The 20,520-nt window shown below is 34.7% G+C and overlaps 1 annotated feature.

The window, feature by feature from the left end:
• Nucleotides 18,641-18,935: an enhancer, noted in NCBI's record as "tiled region #9245; HepG2 Activating non-DNase unmatched - State 24:Quies, and K562 Activating non-DNase unmatched - State 24:Quies". NCBI's record gives its function as "activates a minimal TATA promoter and a strong SV40 promoter by Sharpr-MPRA in HepG2 and K562 cells {active_cell/tissue: HepG2 | K562}" and the evidence as "EXISTENCE:reporter gene assay evidence [ECO:0000049][PMID:27701403]".

Genomic DNA, 20,520 nt, shown 5'->3' with positions numbered 1-20,520 from the left:
TGTCACACCCACAGTATCATGCTGAATGGGGGATAACTGAGTCTTTCCTCTAGAATCTGGACCATGACAAAGATATCCCCTTTCACCACTGTTATTCCACATAGTACTGGAAGTCCTATCTAGAGCAATCAGATAAGAAAACAAAATAAAGGCATCCAGATTGGAAAATAAGAAGTCAAATTATCCTTATTTGCAGATAATATAATCTTATATTTGGAAAAACCTAAACACTTCACTAAAAAAAAAAAAAAAAAAAAAAAACCCTATTAGAACTGACAAAGTAAATTAGCAGGATCCAAAATCAACATGAAAATAACAGAAGCATTTCTATATGCAAACAGCAAGTAATCTGCAAAAGAAATGAGAAAAGTAATCCCATTTACAATAGCTATTAATAAAATAAAATACTTTGAAATTAACCAAAGAAGTGAAGGATCTCTGCAATGAAAAGTATAAGTCAAATTTAGGAAGAAATTTAACAGAACACAGAAAAAATGAAAGCTATCTCATGTTCATGGATTGGATGGATTAATATTGTTAAAATGTTTATACTACCCAAAGTAATTCATATATTCAATTCAATCCATTTCAAAATACCAATAACATTCTTCACAGAAATAGAAATAAAATCATAAAATGTATATGGAACCATAAAAGATCCAGAACAGCCAAAGCTCTCCAGAGCAAAAAGAAAAAGACTGAAAGAATCACATTCCCTGACTTCAAATTATACCACAGAGCTATAGAAACCAAAGCAGCATGATACTGGCAGAAAAACAGACACATGGACCAATAAAACAGAATAGAGAACCCAGAAACAAATTCATACACCTTCAGTGAACTGATTTTCAACAAAGGTGCCAAGAACATCAATTGGGGAAATGACAGTATCTTCAATAAATTATGTAAGGAAAACTGGATATTCTCATGCAGAGAAATGAAATTAGACACCTATCTCTCACCATATACAAAAATCAAGTCAAAATAAATTAAAGTCTTAAATCTAAGACCTCAAATTATGAAACTAGTAGAAGTCCATGTCTTCTCAAGAACACTGGACTGGGCAAAGATTTCTTGAATAATAATATACAAGCACAGGCAACCAAAGCAAAAATGGACAAATGGGATCACATGAAGCTAAAAAACTTCTATGCAGCAAAGGAAACAATCACCAAAATGAAGAGGCAACCCACAAAATAGGAGAAAATATTTGCAAACTATCCAGATGGCAAGGAATTAATAACTAGAATATATAAGGATCTCAAGCAACTGTATAGGAAAAAATGTAATAATCCAATGAAAAAATGGGCAAAATATCTGAATAGATGTTTCTGAAAAGAATATATATAAATGGCAAACACATTATTAAAAGGTGGTCAATGTCACTGATCATCAGAGAAATGCAAATTAAAACTACAATGAGATATAATCTCACCCTAGTTAATCTCACCCAAAAACAGGTAACAAATGCCGGAAAGGATGTGGAGAAAAACCCTTGTACATGGTGAGAATGTAAATTAATACAACGACTATGGCAGAAGTTTGCAGGTTTCTCAAAAAATAAAAATAAAAAAAACCCCTAAAAATAGAGATAGCATAGGAACAAGTAATCCCACTGCTAGGCATGTACTCCAAAGAAAGGAAATCAGTATATCTAAGAGATACCTGCATTCTCATGTTTTTTCCAGCACCATTCACAATGTCCAAGGCTTGGAAGGAACCTAATGTGCAACAACAGATGTTTGAATAAGGAAAATGTGGTATATATACACAGTGAAGTACTGTTGAGTCATAAAAAGAAATAAGACCTGTCATTTGCAACAACATAGATGAAACTGGAGGTCATTATGTTACATGAAATAAGCCAGGCACCGAAAGACATGCCTGGCTTTGCACGTTCTCACTTATTTCTAGGAAATAAAAATTAAAACAATTGTACTTGTGGAGATATAGAGTAGAATAATTGTTACCAGAGGCTGGGAAGGGTAGTAGGGTGGGAAGTTAAGGGAGATTAGTTAATGGGTTCAAAAATGAGAATGATTAAGATCTTGTATTTGATAGCACAACAGAGTGACTACAGTCAACTATAATTCATTGCACATTTTAAAACAACTAAACGAGTATAATTGAGTTGTTTATAACACAAAGAAAGCATAAATTATTGAAGTGATGGATGCCCCATTTATCCTGACGTAATTATTATATATCATATGACTGTATCAAGATATCTCATGTAAATTATAAATATATACATCTATGTCCCTGCAAAATTAAAAATAAAACAATGTTCTGTGTATATAATGAGCATCTATATAACAATATATGAGCATATATTGTATATGTATATATAATAATTTGTGAATATATGCATGAGCATATATATATAATGTGAATATATAGTAATACAGCAATGCACACAGATACATATATAAACTTAATTTTTTTATTAATTTTATTAATATATTTACCTAGTTTTTTAAAGAATCTCATTAATATCTAAAAAGTTACTCTTTTTGTAAAATCAGATTGCTTCAATGAGGATCAAATGACTTACTTTATAGGTTATATTGCCACCAAATATTCAATATGGGCCAACATTTATCAATTTCTTCTACACTTGAAGAAATGTGCAAATGTAAATTTGGATGTCATCATAATGAACCTATGTGGTAACGACAGAGAAAGAAAGGAAAAATCATTTGGGGAAAACAGACTGCAGAAGCAGCTTGCCTGAAAAGTCACAGCAAAAATTAAAACAACCTGGGAAAAATTAAACAACCTGGGAAAAAAACTCAGGCTGCACCTGCACACAGATAAGCAGACAAGGTCCAGCACAGAAGCCCATTGTTCTTTGTATAGCAAATTACTAGGAAAAAGTTTCCTCCCCTTTTCAGGCATATATACAGTGGGCTCCACGGAAACTGGCACAAGGAGGAGGGGGCTTACCTAAAACAAACATACAGTTATATAAACAAGAGAAGTGGCAATTTATGCTTGCCTAGAGACATACTCACAGCTGCATAAGATAAGGGGAGTTCCACAGACAGCTTTAGTGGTAAGAGAAGTTACTGAAACTGCTACAGAGATGAGAGGAGTTTCTTATAAAAAGCTTTTGAATTCAGCTATAACCTGGCATCCCACTTGGACTCCCCTCTTTACTGCAGACAGCTTTCTTCATTCGCTTATTAAACTTGCACTGCAACCTCACCTTTGTGTCCACGTTCCTTAGTTTTCTTGGACATAGGAAAAAGAACCCCGGATATTAGTTCAGAAAATGAGAAACTGCTACATTAAGGTGGATTGGGGAGACTGCAACAGTAGGAATTATTAAAGCCTCCATTTTACAGATGATGAACCTGGGACACAAAAAATTTTTAGTAACTCATCCAAGAGTATATATATCTAGTAAGGTGTTTGACCTTGAACCAACATACTAGATCAGGAGTCATAGAAATTTTTTCTGTAAAGGACCATGTAATAAATATTTAAGGTTTTGTGAGCCACATAGACTTCTGACAAGCGGTCATTTAAAAAAAAATTGTACTACTCTTTGAAAATGTAAAAATCATTCTATGCTTTCAGGTCAAACAAAATCAGGCAGCGGGCTAAATTTGTCCAGCAGTTCATACGTTGTAACTCTTGTGCTAGACTAAAATAAATTATTTCCTTTACCCCTGGTTATTTCTTATAATAGATTCTACAAAAGGATAATGAAATCTCATTATTTAAAGTTCTTTGTACTAAATTATTTGTTGTCTTTGTAAATTGGAGATACTATTACATTGTCTTTTACTTAATATTTGAGTAGTTTATTGTAATACAACTTTAATTATTAGGAATAATATTAAATCACCAAAGCTTAAATATTTGTTTGAAAATAATTTTCTTGAGATAAGGTGGAAATATAAATCTTAACATAAATATGTTATGGTCATGAAGGTGCTTTCATTCAAATAAGGGATATCTTAATGTTGATAATGTAAGACATTTTATAATATGCTTTTATGTGTATACAAAGATAGATTTTTTTTAATCAGAATAATCAGTAGTCCTTCAAATTAAATGCTTCAAGTAGCATTTTCAATTAGCAATAACTCTCTATGAATGTCCAGTTAAATATTTGAAACACTAAATATGATGGAACTTCTACTAGGTAAGATGTAATATTTACACAGTTTGAAGATTCCTGCTGGAGAAAAGAAGAAGCTTTGTGTTATGGAAACCAATTTTTTTTTAATAAACCTATGTTAGGCTAAGAATGTAAATTGTGTTTACTACTGATTGATACAGAGTAAACAAAAGTACAGTCAAGTGGGTATAACTAATCCTGAGAACTGAAGAGAAAACATATAAGCAATTAATTTTTTCTCAATTGGATAAATATTTAATATATAAAGAATGAAAAAATGTTCTGTGTTAGATTGTATTTCATATTTGTCTTTTTGGGTATAAATCAATTTCATGGCCATGCATATTTTATATAGACATTTTTTCAGGTTTTATATTTGGAATGCCCATGGCTTGGTCTTTGGTTTGTTTGTCCTTATGTATGAGCTCCAAATAATCTAATTTACTTTCATGACTTGAAACTCTGACTTCATACTGATAACCTATAAATTTACTTTTCTAGCTCTGCTTTCTCCAATAAAATCCATACTTCATACTGCCAACATTACACTTGACTTCCTTACTTGAGAGAAGTCTTCAAAATCTTAACATGGCCAAAATAAAGTTATTGATTTCCTTGTCCCAATCAGTTTCTAACATCATCTTTCCCATTCTAGTAACACATGAATTTTATCCCCTCGGTCTATCCTTAAACCTATGATTCCTCAGTTTACCTCACCTCCCGTATTCAATTCTTTAGAAAATCACACCAGCTTTACCTATTAAAAAAAGTCAGTTAACACCCTAGTTCAGAGAGTCATCATTTTTCCCCATAATACACAAGCGAGTTAAATATTTATGTGTTATTTCTGCTTCCAAAGTTAACTCAATTTTCCACATAGCAGTAAGAATGATTGTTTTAAAACGTTAATCAACTATGTAACTCCTCTGCTTAAAATTTGCCAATGTCTTCTCAAGAGATTAATAATAAAATGAGCAAACAAAAAACTTTCAATAAGTTTTACAGAAATTTAATGTATTGGCCCCATCAATATTGTAACCCCCCATGTATTCCCATGTTCTCTTTTAATAAATTGGATATACATATTCACCAGTCTTTCTGTTCTTTGATCTTATTGACTACATTCTATCCTTCCCTGTTGCATTAGCCTTTTTTACCTTTGCCTGAATTATTTTTTCTCCAAAACAGGTGTCCCATTTTACTCTCACTCACAGCATCTCAGCATTGTTTTTGCCAAAATTTTTCAACTTATCCTATTTGCTTAATTTTTTATTTTCATCAGTCCCCTCCCCAAATAAAATCTGATTCCAGATAAGCTGTTTGTTCTTTCCATTTCTTCATCTATTATGCCATTGAACAATAAAAAAATTCAATATGCATTTGGTAATATAATTAATCAATATATAAATGATAATAATACTATGCATTTAATTTTAAAAACCTATAGTTTATAGCACAATACTGTGTAGACTGCATATGGCCACAGATTTTTTGTATCTCCTTCTATTCAGCGGAAGAGCCTATGTTATCATCTGTTAAAACTGGTCTGGCTTTGTTACTGGTTTTAACTGTGTGTAACAGAAGTTATTTCTTTTTAGTTTCGGAGTTTAGGCTTCAGGAGGCCTTACAATTTCCACCTATGTTCTCATGAAACACTATCTTCAGATCACTGTGGAAGAAAGCTGGATAAGCACAATGGAAGATAAGAACCTATGTGAACACAGCACCAATTCCCATACATGACAGTCAAGCCTTCTGCCCAACTAACCTTCCGACACAGTCACATTCCACTGAACGCTGCTGCCTGAGATGTTCAAGGGAAAACTGATTTAAAAAAAAATTATTCTAGCTCACATATATATCAATTATGATAATGTGAAGCTCTTACATTTGAGGTAGTTTGTTGTACAGTAATACATAACTAATGCAGAAATTAATACCTAGAAGTAGGGTGCAGGACATTAAATCTAAATATAGGGGACATTGACTTTGATACCATATAGCAGACTGTGGCTGGAAAGGCAATAAGAAGAGTGTAAATGTGATATTTTGGAACACTTGGACTTGGGGGGAAAAAAATCCTGTAAGTGACCAAAAAGCAAAAAGAGTGATAGAAACTGGAGAAAGAAGAAACAAAGTTGTGTGGTTGCAGAACAACTGGCAATTTGCAATGATGTCTCTGATAACATGGCAGGTGGCAAAAAGTACCCAAAGAACTTATGAATCTGGATCAAGAGAGCTCTAGAGAGATTACCTAAAGAAGGAGAGACTCTGTTTGTGAGCAGAACTTAGAGGTTATACAGAAGGCCCAGGATGTGTTGGGCTTGGAAAATAAAGCTATTTCATAGTTTCTGTTTCTCCGTGAAGCAGATTTTTAAAGAAATACATGGTATCAGAGCAAAATCATATTATACTGTGGCTATCCAGATCTTTGTTAAGACCTCAGAAATACGTAGGGTGCTAGGTCCTCCTTAGAAGACTTACAGGAACATTAATGGCTTTGTATCAATCCAGTCTCAACCAAACCTAATGGAGACAGAAGAAGTTTTAGGGTACATGTGCACAACGTGCAGGTTTGTTACGTATGTATACATATGCCATGTTGGTGTGCTGCACCCGTTAACTTGTCATTTAACATTAGGTATATCTCCTAATGGTATCCCTCCCACCTCCCCCCACCCCAAAATAGGCCCTGGTGTGTGATGTTCCCCTTCCTGTGTCCATGTGTTCTCATTGTTCAATTTCTACCTATGAGTGAGAACATGCGGTGTTTGGTTTTTTGTCCCTGCGATAGTTTGCTGAGAATGATGGTCTGGGCTCCAAATTTCTTTAGGCAGGAAGGGAGCTAACAAAGCTGCATGATTGCAAATATAGTACATTTCTTATCTAAAAGGAAATGTCTCTCAAAGGATAGATCTGGGAACCCTGAGGGCAGGACCAAGAGCTCAGGTTAACAATGGATTTGGAAACCATAGCCAGATAGGAGAGTTTGTGGAATTGACAATAGGTTTTTGGCTGGATATCAGATCTTTTGTTAATCAGTGGCGTCCATGTGCGTATCTTCTTCCTCCTTTTGAGTCATAGTGTCTATTGTGACTACGTGTTCCTGTCTCCCCAAACTAAGTTGGATGTGTGGGGGAAAACTTTCCTTTATAATTTAAAAGCTTCTGATCCAGAAGAGCCATGCCTGAAGATTCTGATCAAAAGGGATTGATCTGTATCATGGTCAGAGAAAATATGGTAATAATATAGGGTTGGAGCTTAATGCCATTTTTGGAAGAATCTTGGTTGACTAAGTATTTTTCACGTGTTGGCTAAAGGGCACACTGCGATAGATTAAATATGGCCATTAATTCTTTCAAATACTTTCTTGGAAGAAATGGGATCTATTTATTCACACTTTGAGTTTGGCCGAACTTGTGAATTCATTTTACCAATAGCATGTGACAGAAAAGACATCATGAGTTCTAGAATCTCGCAGTTCCTCTACGGCTCTTGCTGATTTTGTCAACATCCATTTGGAATACTGACCTGAGACCACCATGCAAGGATGGTGACCTAGATCATTTGAGGATAAAAGGCCACATACATAGGATCCAAGTGATGCCAGCTGACATCTAGCCAGAACCAACTGCCACACACGTGAATAAAAAATACAGGACTTTTCATTTCATCTGACTCTTTTGCTGATTGCAGCTGCAAGAGTGAACCCATGGAAGTCCTGCAGGAATCACCCAGGCAGCCCACCAAAGCATGAGAAGTAATAAGCAATAAATTTTCATCTTAACCTACTAAGTCAGAAAGAGTTTTCAATGCAGCAATATATAACTGTCAGGCATTAAGTTATTAGGTAATGATTTTTTATCTTCATTTAGTGATATAAGTATCTAGAAATTCTAAGAATGAACTTATTAAATATTTTAATATTTAATTATTAATTGTTTTAAATGTTTTAAATTATTAAATGTTTTAATTTAATTATTATTAAATTGTTAATATATTAAATTATTAAATGTTTTAAAAATTGTTTTTACCATCAGCTAACGTTGGATTCTTATATTTAATAAATATAGGCCCTTATATTTAATAAATAGGGTTACTGCTCAATTTTTTTATCCACAAATATGTATTGAGTGCCCACCATAGTCTGCAGAAACTGTGCTGGTGAAGCTGGAGCTAACACAAATCAAGAAATACAAATATTTTACCTTTACTAAGAACAAAAGACCCCATTACCCTTTCAATATAATTCCTGACATAAGTAGTCCTGCCCAGTGGAGCAATTTTTCTTAATGAAACAATTCAGCAAAATATTTTCTCTTCAGCTTCCCTTTAAACATTGGCATTATGTGCATCACCCAGGCACATGATGGATTAGTGCAATGGAAGACAGGAAAAAAAAAGGAGCATAGAGGAGAAATGAACATTCTCTTAAGGATCAGACATGGAAGTGATATCCATCATCTCCAGTTATAAACCACACACACACACACACACACACACACACACACACACATACAGAGGCACACACACATATATATATGCAGTGGACCCTTGAACTGCAGGTTTGAACTGCACAGGTCCACTTATATACAGATTTTTTTCAACCAAATGCAGATGCAAATTATAGTTTTTAATGGATGTGAAACCCACATTTAAAGAGAGCCAGCTTTGTATTTAGGTGTGTTCTACAGTGCTAACTATGAAACTTGAATATGTGGATTTTTGGAGACTTTGGTGGAGTTCTGGAACTAGCCTCGCCACAGTCTACCAGGGAATGACTGTACACACACACACACACACGCGCGCACGCACACACACACACACATACACACACGCACACACACGCGCATGCACACACACACCCACATACACACACGCACACACACATGCACACACACATGCACACACATATATATATAATTTTATGTTATGCAGATTTAAGCTTGATTGAAGGATCTTACTTAGTTATTTGTAGTTAAGACTCATCCTAATTGGGGAAACTAATTATTTTCATTAATGTGGAAAACTGCTACTCAAGTTAGAGAGAGGAATATTTAAAAATCAAATAATTGTCAATCTTGTCCTTAAGTATTAAATATGTGTTATGCATATATCTTTACACAGACACATTTACTTATAATTATATATGCATATAGCTATTTAGTTATTTTTAATATATTTATATATTTTAATATATATTAATAGACAGACTGGAATATAAAGGTAAGGAAGCCTGTATTTAATTATTTGCCATAATATTCACTGTCTTGTGAACTATGTCAGGTAAAGAACGTCAGGAACAACAGTAATTATTTTGCAGTAATGCAGTAAAATGGAAAGTGTGCTGGTTATATAGCATGCGTTAAAAAAAAGGTCTTATAAATCAGTATAAATGAGCATACTGGTGAAATGATAAGACTATGTTCTGAGAAATAGCTTAGAAGTTATATAGGCTAAACCAATATCCAAATGAATCCTTACAATCACCTTCCTTTACATATTCTGTCCTTTACAACCAAAAGCAAAATAATTCACTGAAAAACGTGCTCTGCAATGCACAAAAAGTATATTAAGTGTGGAAGAGAGGTACATAAACCTACTGCCTTCATATTAGTGTTTCTTCCAGCTTTATTGCAAATATCTGATAATGTTGAAAAAATAGCAAAAGAATAAAAAGTATCATTTACATCTTTATTAATAACAATCTCAGGAGATGCTGTAAAACCCATGCAATATTAAAATTTTGATCAATATTGTGTCGTAGCAGGATTCATATATAAGGAATGGAGAAATCCAGGTTCTGAGAGTGCTTTGTAGCTTCATTAGCTATACAAATCCCATCACACCTGCTTGATGAATCATCAGGCATACATTTTGACAAGTTCTGAAACTCTCCGAATATTAATTTTACATTCTTGAAAACAATGACAAGATATTAGAGGATCTTTGTGGAACTTTCTAGTTCAGAATTTTCAGGGATGTAGGTATGACTTAAAATTTTATAAGACCAATTTTCTAAAGGAAAAACATTCTCCTTCTACCTCTCATGGAGGTAGATTGTAACCACGTATGAGTTCCCAGACAAAAGCTGAGCCCAGATAGCTGTGCATCCTCCATCAGCCTGATTAGGTCCTTACAGTCATACCCAAATAGACAAATTGGTGTGGCCACATAAAAAGGTTTCTGTTTATGACTGTGAAGTCAAAGTTAATTCATGCTATTCATATGTCTGAAGAACTGCAATTTAGGCAACAAATTATGCTTGTTAGTGAGAAAAGTTGCGTTTTGTGTGGTGACATCTAAATGTATCATTGTATTGTAATTATATTTCTATTAACATAGACTATGAAAAACATACACCTATTACTTATTTACTTATTTTGTTGTTAGTGGTGGTTGTTTTTTTGTGTGTGCGTGTGAGAGGGTCTCACTCTGTTGGGCTGGAGTGCAGTGGCGCCTCTCCACTCACTGCAAGCTCTGCCTCTTGGGTTCAAGTGATTCTCGTGTTTCAGACTCCAGAGTAGCTGGGACTACAGATGCATGCCACCATGCCAGGCTAATTTTTGTATTTTAGTAGAGATAGGTTTTTCACCATGCTGCCCAGGCTGGTCTCGAACTTTCGGCCTTGAACTTCCAGCCTCAAGTGATCTGCCAAACTCGGCCTCCCAAAGTGCTGGGATTACAGGCATTAGTCACTGCACCCTGCCACATATACCTTTAACTTAAATCTAGAATTCTTCATTTTTGTATCCAAGACTCAAAATAATTATAGTACCTAATGCTTCATCGAAGGTTTTCCACATCACCCTGACTCTTCTTCACGTGTGAGTCTAATTTCCTAAGTTTTCAAGGATAGTAGAGTGTGCTTAGGACATATGGCTATGAAATTACAATTATATTTTCATACAACTCAATTTTCAATCAACTCAATCATTTATTATGATTGATGAAAAAACAAAAAATCAAGATTTATGTAAGAAAATCATGGAAGCCTTGAAATTCCAATAGTGAAGAGCAAAATGATGGCTAGATGTTGAGTAATAGCTTTTCATAGAATTCATTCTCTGAATCTAGACATTTGAAAGGAGCCTAATACACATAACTTTATTTTAAGAAAATAAAATATCACTTCTCATTTCATAGTCTGTAACTATATTAAATATGTATTTAATTTCTCATTTCTAAATAAAAATCTTATTTCATTGATAAGAAACTTTTGAAATCTTAAGCAATTTTTCCAAAAGATTGAAACTAATCAAAAGCATTCCAAAAACTTAACCTAGTCTTTTATATGATTTTACTTTAAATATTTTCAAAACTTTTCCATCTTTTGTCTAGACTGTACTAAGTATTACCCCAACAAGATCACAATTTTCTGAATTGAAACGATGTCACTTGTGATATTAAAAATGGGATATATTTTATTCAAGAGTCTATGACTTGCATCTTATCTTTAGGTGCCCATTATAATCAGACTCACTGGTGCTGCCATTTATAAAATATTTATACATCTAAAAAGCAAATTTGGAATGACTACTAGAAGAAGTTGTCATAAAAAAAAATCGTCTAACTAGCTTTTAACCCTTTAAGTAGAGTTTGAAATAAGAGTATGACCAAGTAGAAATATAATTTCTATAAGTAATTTTTTATTAATAAGTTTTCCCAGTGGGTTATTTATTGAATGATAATAAATAGTACACTAAACTGAGGACTTGTTTTATAAAATCTGTTAAGAGAAATTTCTGATTAAACTTTTTTAATAGAAAATTGTGTATTTTTAGTGCTTCATGATTTCAGGGAATTATATGAAAACATGTATAAACTGAACATCATTTATATATGTACAAATATATTTTATTGCTAACAAGATACTATTAATAATACAGATTAAAACATATTTAAACCAGTTAATTATATCAAATTGCCTAAAATAAGACTTGTTTGTATTTTAAAGTTATTTGTGAAATATTGTTCTTCTGTTTCTATGTGTCAAAATAATACTAACATAATTTATCAATTTACATGTTTAAAATAAATTCAAGTTGCTTGGGTATAGATAGAAAAAAATGAGTTCAATAAAAAGGAGGTATTAGACACTGAAATTTAACAACACCGTATACCATGTACCAAACTTCAGTCAATATGTGTGAGTCTAAAATGTGTCAGGAGTAGTGGATTGGCAAATTCAGGGAATTATTAAGATTTAGGACTTGTAGGAGTTTGGACAACATAGTACCAAAGCATTGGGGTGTCTGGCTTCTGGATAAAAACCTATGTGTGATTTTTCAGGCCGAATCATAAGTGATTATGAAGGCTTTCTCTGGCAGACCTCATGGAGGAAGCTGCCCTGCCCTCTCCATACTAGTGCATTACAATCTCAGCTTCAGTCAAGGACTCAGATTCCTCTGGCTATTCATACTCTTGTCCATATCTGCATTTGTAACCCAGGAGCCTTCATTTGGAGCCCTCTCTACTGGGGAAAGGAGGCTTTTGGCAGAGGCCTTATCGGGCTCCTCTGCCTCAGGACTTAGTACTTTTCTACCCCTAGTCTGTCTGCCTTTCCCTCCTCTTCCCCGGCCCATAGGTCTGAAATATCATACAAACCTTTTTTTCAGGGCTCCTTCTGCGGTGAGAGGCTCCTTATGTCTTTGTGCTGATCTGCCTGATCCTTGATTAGAAACATGCCACAGGGAAAAATGGGATGACTGCAGGGTGTGGGAGGTGGGGAAGGGAGATGGTACTGTCTCCAGTTTAGTCTCTTGCAGTAAGTGATTAAAGACTTGACAATTGTTTTTGTTTTGGCTTGTTCTCTTAATCAGGTACTCCAATGTTTGGCAGCTCAGCTGTCTCCAGCTCAGTTGAACTCTGAACAGACACCTGAGTTTGTGTAATATAAGATAAATATAATTTATACAAGTTGAGAAGATATGCTTAAAAAACATCAATGCATACCTTAAAATAAAACATATAAACAAAAGAGGGTACATTAATCCCATTACAATGTCTGTATATAATGAAGAGTTTTGGAGTCAGAAATCCAAATAAAGGAATAAATAAATAAGACAAGAGAGCAACTTTGTGAGGAATAGTAATGACAATGCCATGAACAGGAGGCTGTGATTATCTCAGCCTCCAAAACAGAAAGTGGGGGAAGGGGAAAGGCAAATAACAAAAGTTCTACTCATTATTTTTTTGCTTAGGACTTTTCCTCATACCCATGCTCTTCCCTGAAAGAAATTCAACTTAGTCTTAAGGATTAACTTAAATGTTTCCTTTTGATAAGGCTTTTTCTTTATATTTCACTTGAAATTGCATTCCTCTATGCAAATATATATTCTATAGCATATTCTACTTTTATAAACGCACATCACTCATAATACACACACACAACACACTCATAATAACTTTTGTTTTAATGTGCTTATTTGTCTCCATCCTTCCATGGAGGGAGAAATTGTATTTCTTTTGCTAAGTATTAAACTTCTTCTGCCTATCAATCACAGTGCTTGAAAAATAGATTTCAAATGAATTAATGATTCAAGCAATGAATTACTATAGGTTATAAATCAAAGAAGTTTCCACCTCTCCTTTCTATGAGAAAATGTGTATGGTTTTCTTTTTTGAGGTATGTAACAAAAAATGGTTATGTGAAAATGATTTACATATTTTTTCTGCCTTCTGTCTACATTTCCCTGAGAAAAACCTTTCTCTAACTGAAAAATTAGGGTTTTGAATTTGAAGATCTAAAGTTACAGTCGATAATGGCCATTACACTACTAACTTGCACATGAAGTGGTGTTTTGGTTCCTAGTCTTTTCTTTATAATGGCAATGATTTTAAACCTAAAAAGGACTACTTGAGGTAGTTGCATTTAAAATTTAAATTTCATTTCCATCGAGATATATGTCGAAATCTGTTCCCTTTTCTTTTGTTTTCCATTTCTTTGTAATGGATATATATTTTTTCCCTGCCTGGGTAATTTTCTCACAGGTATTTGTATTCTTCTGCTCTAGATTTTACAAGAGAGTTCCGACCATCCTAGAGAATGTTATTCTTACAGAAATGATGCTTGGTAAAAGTTTGAAAGATCTCTACCACATACAGATGTTTGTATTTGAAAGCTCTCTTACAGTGTGTTTTGGAAAAAAGTCACTGGTGCTGTTGATCAGTCTACACATTTATTATGCCAGAAATGTGTTAAATAATATATCTTCACTCTTATGGTTCCATTTATAATTGTACAGATGTTTCTTTTTCCCATAAAATCAATTAAATAATAATTCATATTAAACAGCAATTTTTAAAAATTGAATCACCACTGGATCCAGGAAAAATGAACATTTATTTTATTTCTCTATTAGAAATTTGGATGCAAGTAGATTTTAGGATAAAAATAATAAGGAGAACTTCTTAGGAGAATTACATTTCTTCTAAAAAATAAATAAGCAGAAATATGACTGTCTTTGTGATGGAATAATACACCTTCCCTCTGTAAATGTCAGAAAATAATAATTTTCTTTCAAAAGTTTTTTTTTTCAACAAATCATAGAAAGCAAAGAAAATAAAAATCCTCAAAATAAAGCAAATATATGCTTTTACAATATTTTATAATATATTTTAGAGCATTTTAGGCCACTTTAGAGCACTCTATATTTTTATCATACAGTAAGCAGATTCAAAAGTGCTTATAAAATGCATACTAACAAAGATGAAAAATTCAATTTAAAAAAGCTGAAACCTTAATAAGGAAGGAAGCTATTTCTAAGCAATTAATCTAAGTGCTCTGTGTCTCGTGTCAATTAATCTTCCTGTGTTAGGAGTTATTAAAAAATTATTTTAGGCAGATAGAAAGGAAAAGGGGTCCTTTGGAAATTTTCATTTTTTAAAGCATCTCCAGAAAAGTTTCTTGTAAAGCCCCAGCTCTTAGAGCCAGGCTGGCAACCTTTGATATGCAAATGCCAGCAGTTAAAAGCTGAGTTCACCCAAACATGGCGATTTCCACAGCCTTCTTGTCCTTTCGCCACAGGATCCTGGCAACATGACTACCCTCACATATCCCCAGGTATGTGGAACACCGTGGTGCCCTGCCTTTGCATATTAAAAGGCTAGGAAAGAGGACCAGCTTTTTCACAGGCTATGTGAATGACATGCCTGGTCAAACCAGTCCCCTGAGCCCTATGCAAATCAGACACCGCCTCCTCCAGCCTCTGTATATATACCTGGTTGGCGTCCACTGCACTTGGGGTCCGTCTCTCAGCTTTGGAGCCCCCCTCCCTCTGTTTCTGTAGAGGGGAACTTCTTGCTTTCTTCCCCTTTCTTTCTTGCCTACTAAACTCCCTGCTCCTTAAAACTACTCCACCTGTGTTGGTGTCGTTTTTTCTAATTCGACTCCAGAGAAAGAACCTGGTGTTCTCCACTCATCGGAGCTGTATCATTCCCAGCAACATCCCCCCTTATAGGCCTCCTCAGCCCATATTAAAAAATTAGGAATTGAGGCTCAGATTATTTAATTTGTTCAAGTCAAATGGACCTGAGAAGTTTCAAGACCACTATTCTAACCAAGAAGTATGGGATTCCCTCCTCTCTGTCGTCTATATACATCTAAGGCTCTGTGCAATCATACATTCAGTCAAGAGATGTTTACTGAGTCTCTTTTATGTTTAACATATTGTTCTCTTCACCAGAATAGCATAGTGAGAGATTCAGTTTTGTGGGCCTACCTTCTCTCTTGTGAAATTGCAGAGAATTGGGTAATTCCTCTTTATTAATGACCTTCCCCAAACTTGATTCTGGACAAACATGGCATCCATGTAGTCAGAAATGCATAAACGGACACATAATATTTATTTTTCTTTTATTGTATATAATTTCCTCACTATTTTTAAAAATAACATCAAATGATTGTCATTAAACCAATGAATTCTCTCACATTTGTTGGGCAAATGTGATCATTAAACAGCTCTCTGACTTTATGTCTGCAGAGAGCCACAAGTTTATGTTATCAAGTACTCTCTATTGCTGGAGATGTTAAAATATCACTCAGAAGGCAGCTGGGTAAGGGCTTTTAGTTTACAAATTGACATGACTTTCTCACTGTAGTTCAAATTGCTTTGAAGTTTTAAGCGAAATAAAAAAATATAAAGAACCAGTTCATCTTCAATAGGATAATAGTTGAAAGCTTAGTGCATTCACCAGTCACTATTGCCAAAAAGCTTTCTGCCTTCTCTTTCTCTACAGATCATCCAGGTGATGCATCTTTGTCCAGCATACAGCATAAAATAAATGCAGGTCAAGTGCTGGATTTTAAAAACAGCCATAGGTCAATTATCTGATGTATTTGTTTGTTGTGACTCTCACTCATACATGAAAAATAAATCATCCACCTGGAAATTTGATAGAAAATCTGTATTATACACTGAAAGACAGGTATCTATAAAACATACATTTTCTTTGGAATCTAGTTATCCATGGCTAAAATTAAAAGCAAATGCAGACAAATTGTATTGCTTTTCAAATTATGCTTCAGTCTATTTGCTTATTTCAGTTTCAATCAGTTAACTATAAAGGAACATATTGCAACTAAAGACAAGCAACTTATTTTTTAGACATAAAATAATTGCATAATTTTGCATAACTGAAAATTATTTGTCTTTATGCATCATTATTATTTTGATTCAGAAGTTCCTTTAACACATTACAGTACAACAGCCGAATAAATCTGTAGCTACAGAACAATATAACGGTACCAAAATATTTAAGAGTGATAAAATAAATTTTATACTAATCACAGCATCCACTTTTAGAACATTAAAAAGTTTAGTCACATTTAGAAAATGAAGCATTTAGGACCTTCCTATTCTCTCTTGTCTTGTTGGAACTAATAAGAATGCATGTGAAATCTACCAGATGAACTCATTATAAAAGGCAGGTGAAGGACTTGTCAATGCAGGGCCTGATCTGATCTTAAATAACTAATTAAGCCCACAGCAGTTTAGTTTGATATCTGAGTTTGTGTTTCCTTAATTTACAACTAACAAGAAAGCTCACACATAAACCTTAAGGTTATCAGTGTGTTTACTCATATTTTTTTAAAAAAAACAATATACTTGACCTTTTATTGATTGATTTCTTGTTAATTTTCACTGTTATTTATTTAGTAATTTATATTTTCAAAGCATTTGAGCCACTGCCTCAATGTCAACATGTAAGCATAATTGTCATATATCGTCATATTAAAATTAGTTTGTGTCAAACCTGAAGCAAATCTCTCTACCTCCGAATATCGCAGTACTCTTAGACCTTATTGATCCATATTAATAAATATAACATTAAAAGTGACTTCCAGCTGGGCACAGGGGCTCACATCTGCAATCCTAGCCCTTTGGGAAGAGTTCAAGATCAGACTGGGAGTATTAGACTGTTTTCACCCTGCTGATAAAGACATACCCAAGACTAGGAAGAAAAAGAGGTTTAATGGATTTATTGTTCCACATGACTGGGAAGGCTTCACAATCATGGTGGAAGGCAAGGAGGAGCAAGTCACGTCTTACATGGATGGTGGCAGGCAAAGAGAGAGCTTGTGCAGAGAAACTCCCATTTTTAAAACCATCAGATCTTGTGAGACTTATCAACTATCATGAGAACAGTGAAGTAAAGACCTGCCCCCATAATTCAATCACCTCCCACGACATGTGGAACCTGTGGGAGTTACAATTCAGAATGAGATTTGAGTGGAGACATAGCCAAACCATATCACCGGGCAACATAGGGAGACCTTGTCTCTATAAGAAATTTAAAAATTAGCTAGGCATGGTGGTGTATGCTTATAGTCCCAGCTACTTGGGATGCTGAGGTGGGAGGATCACTTGAGCCCAGGCCTTTGAGGCTACAGCAAACCATGACTGTGCCACTGCACTCCAGCCTGGGCAACAGAATGAGACACTTTCTAAAAACAAAACAAAACTAAACAAAACACACCAAACTTTCCTCACATTCACCTCATACATCTTTCTATTTCTATCGGTCCTCAAGTTTGAGTTCATAGGTGAATGTGTATGCATCCATTCCAGCAATAATTACATCATAACTCTTAGTATTTTTCTTACATATATATATATACATATATATGTAAGAAAAAATGTATATATAGCAATCACTGTTTATGAACTATATTCTACAAACAAAAACAATGTGTAAATTATAGGGGAAATATTTTTAATTAATACCTGATTTTTTTTATTAAATGGTGATTGTAGTGATGTTGGTGGCTGTGTTTGTGATGTCAGAGGCATTAGAACTAGAGTGACTCCATCTTGCATAGGGGTTGGGTAAAATGAGGCTGAGACATGTTGGGCTACGTTCCCAAAAGGTTAGGCATTCTTAGTCACAGGATGAGATAGGAGGTCAGCAGAAGATACAGGTCACAAAGAGCCTGCTGATAAAATAGTATGTAGTAAAGAAGCTGGCCAAAACCCAGCAAAACCAAGATGGTGATGAAAGTGACCTCTGGTCATCCTCACTGCTCATTACATGCTTATTATAATTCACTAGCATGCTAAAAGACATTCCCACCAGTACTATGACAGTTTACAAATGCCATGGCAACATCTGGAAGTTACCCTAGATGATCTAATCCTCAGTTCCAGGAAATCCCCACCCCCTTCCCAGAAGACTCATGAGTAATCCACCCCTTGTTAGCATATGATCCAGAAATAGCTTTAAGTATACTCAGTCAAGCAGCCCATGCTGCTGTTCTGTCTACAGAGTACCCATTCTTTTATTCCTTTACTTTCTTAATAAACTTGCTTTCACTTTACTCTATGGACTCGCCCAAATTCTTTCTTGCGTGAGATCTAAGAACCCTCTCTGGGGTCTGAATCAGGACCCCTTTCTGGTAACAGTAGCTCTGATAGTAGTAGTTAATAATTTAATGTAGAAAGAAAAGAAAGAAGTAAAAGTAGGAGAAGAATTAAGAAGAAAAGGGAGAAGGGGAAAATAATGGAACAGACGAGGGGAATGAGAAAGAAAAAGATGGAGAAGGAGTAAAGATAAATTAAAATGATAAAGTAACAGCAGCAAATGGCTTGCTTAATAGCAATTATTAGCCATTAAAAAACAGTGTAGGCGGGGCGCGGTGGCTCATGCCTTTAATTCCAGCACTTTGGGAGGCTGAGGCGGGCGGATAGTGAGGCCAGGAGTTTGAGACCAACCTGGCCAACATGGTAAAACCCCGTCTCTACTAAAAGTACAAAAAAAATTAGCTGGGCATAGTGGCGGGCTCCTGTAATCCCAGCTACTCAGGAGGCTGAGGCAGGAGAATTGCTTGAACCTGGGAAGATGGAGGTTGCAGTGAGCTGAGATTGCGCCACTGCATTCCAGCCTGGGCAATAAGAGCGATACTCCATCTCAAAAAAGAAAAAAAACAATAGGGTGTAAATATGTTCGTTAACAATCTGGTACCATTTAAGTAATTAAATGTACATGCAAATAATTCTTTACATTCAAATTCAAGAAAACTGTTTATGTTATATCAGTATGCTTTCTCAGTTGATTACAATTTGTTTTATCTAAATATTTTTTAATGTCTTATGGAATTTATTACTTTTTTATTAGTATACTTTGCTTGTGCTTCTACATTTCAATGTAGCTCATTCAATAAAGAAAGATGTTCGAGATTTTTAATTTTACTGTTGTAGTGGGGCATTTTCAGCACTCTGCCCATATCCATCATGTTTCCTCATACTATTTCTAAGTCCTCTTCCATGTGCTTTCACTTCCAAGGGCCTCATTTACTACTCCTCTTAGGAGGACTGTCCTGTTCTAGTAGAAGAGCAGATAGCTAGCCATGCTTCGGACTTAAGTTCCCCTGGAGCCTGACTCCTTTGCCAGACAGACTCTGTCGGCAACAGACTCTGGGGCAAAAATTACATTCCAGCATCTTGCTGATGCCCGTTGAAGTTCCTTCATGGGAACTTGACCTAAGAAAACTGTAAAATGAATAAATGAATTCAGCAATTGATTTTTTGGATTTTGTGTGTATATGTATGTGTGTGTGTGTGTGTGTGTGTGTGTGTGTCTGTGTATGTGTAAGCCAATATTTAAAAAATTGTATCATGAAGAACAGAAAGTATTTGAGATAAACACATGTAAAACCCAAGCTGATTTAACATTTTTTTCTCAGTTATTGATGTGAGTGTTTTGGGGCTGTGTTTATGCATGCATGTGTGTGTTGTGTGTGTGTGTGTGTGTGTGTGTTTTCAGTGACTGAGGGGTAGAGAGGTGAGTTGTTAGCTTTATTATTACTACAAAATACCCTAAAAGTAGAAACATTACATTTGGAAATTGAGAGTTATGAAAAGGTTGGCATAAATTATGATATCTAGTATATG

The sequence above is a fragment of the Homo sapiens genome, chromosome 3, assembly GCF_000001405.40.
Source record: "Homo sapiens chromosome 3, GRCh38.p14 Primary Assembly".
In the NCBI taxonomy this organism is placed as follows: domain Eukaryota; kingdom Metazoa; phylum Chordata; class Mammalia; order Primates; family Hominidae; genus Homo; species Homo sapiens.
Note: the sequence above shows the minus strand (reverse complement) of the source record. Positions and strands in the feature narration are given on the sequence as shown.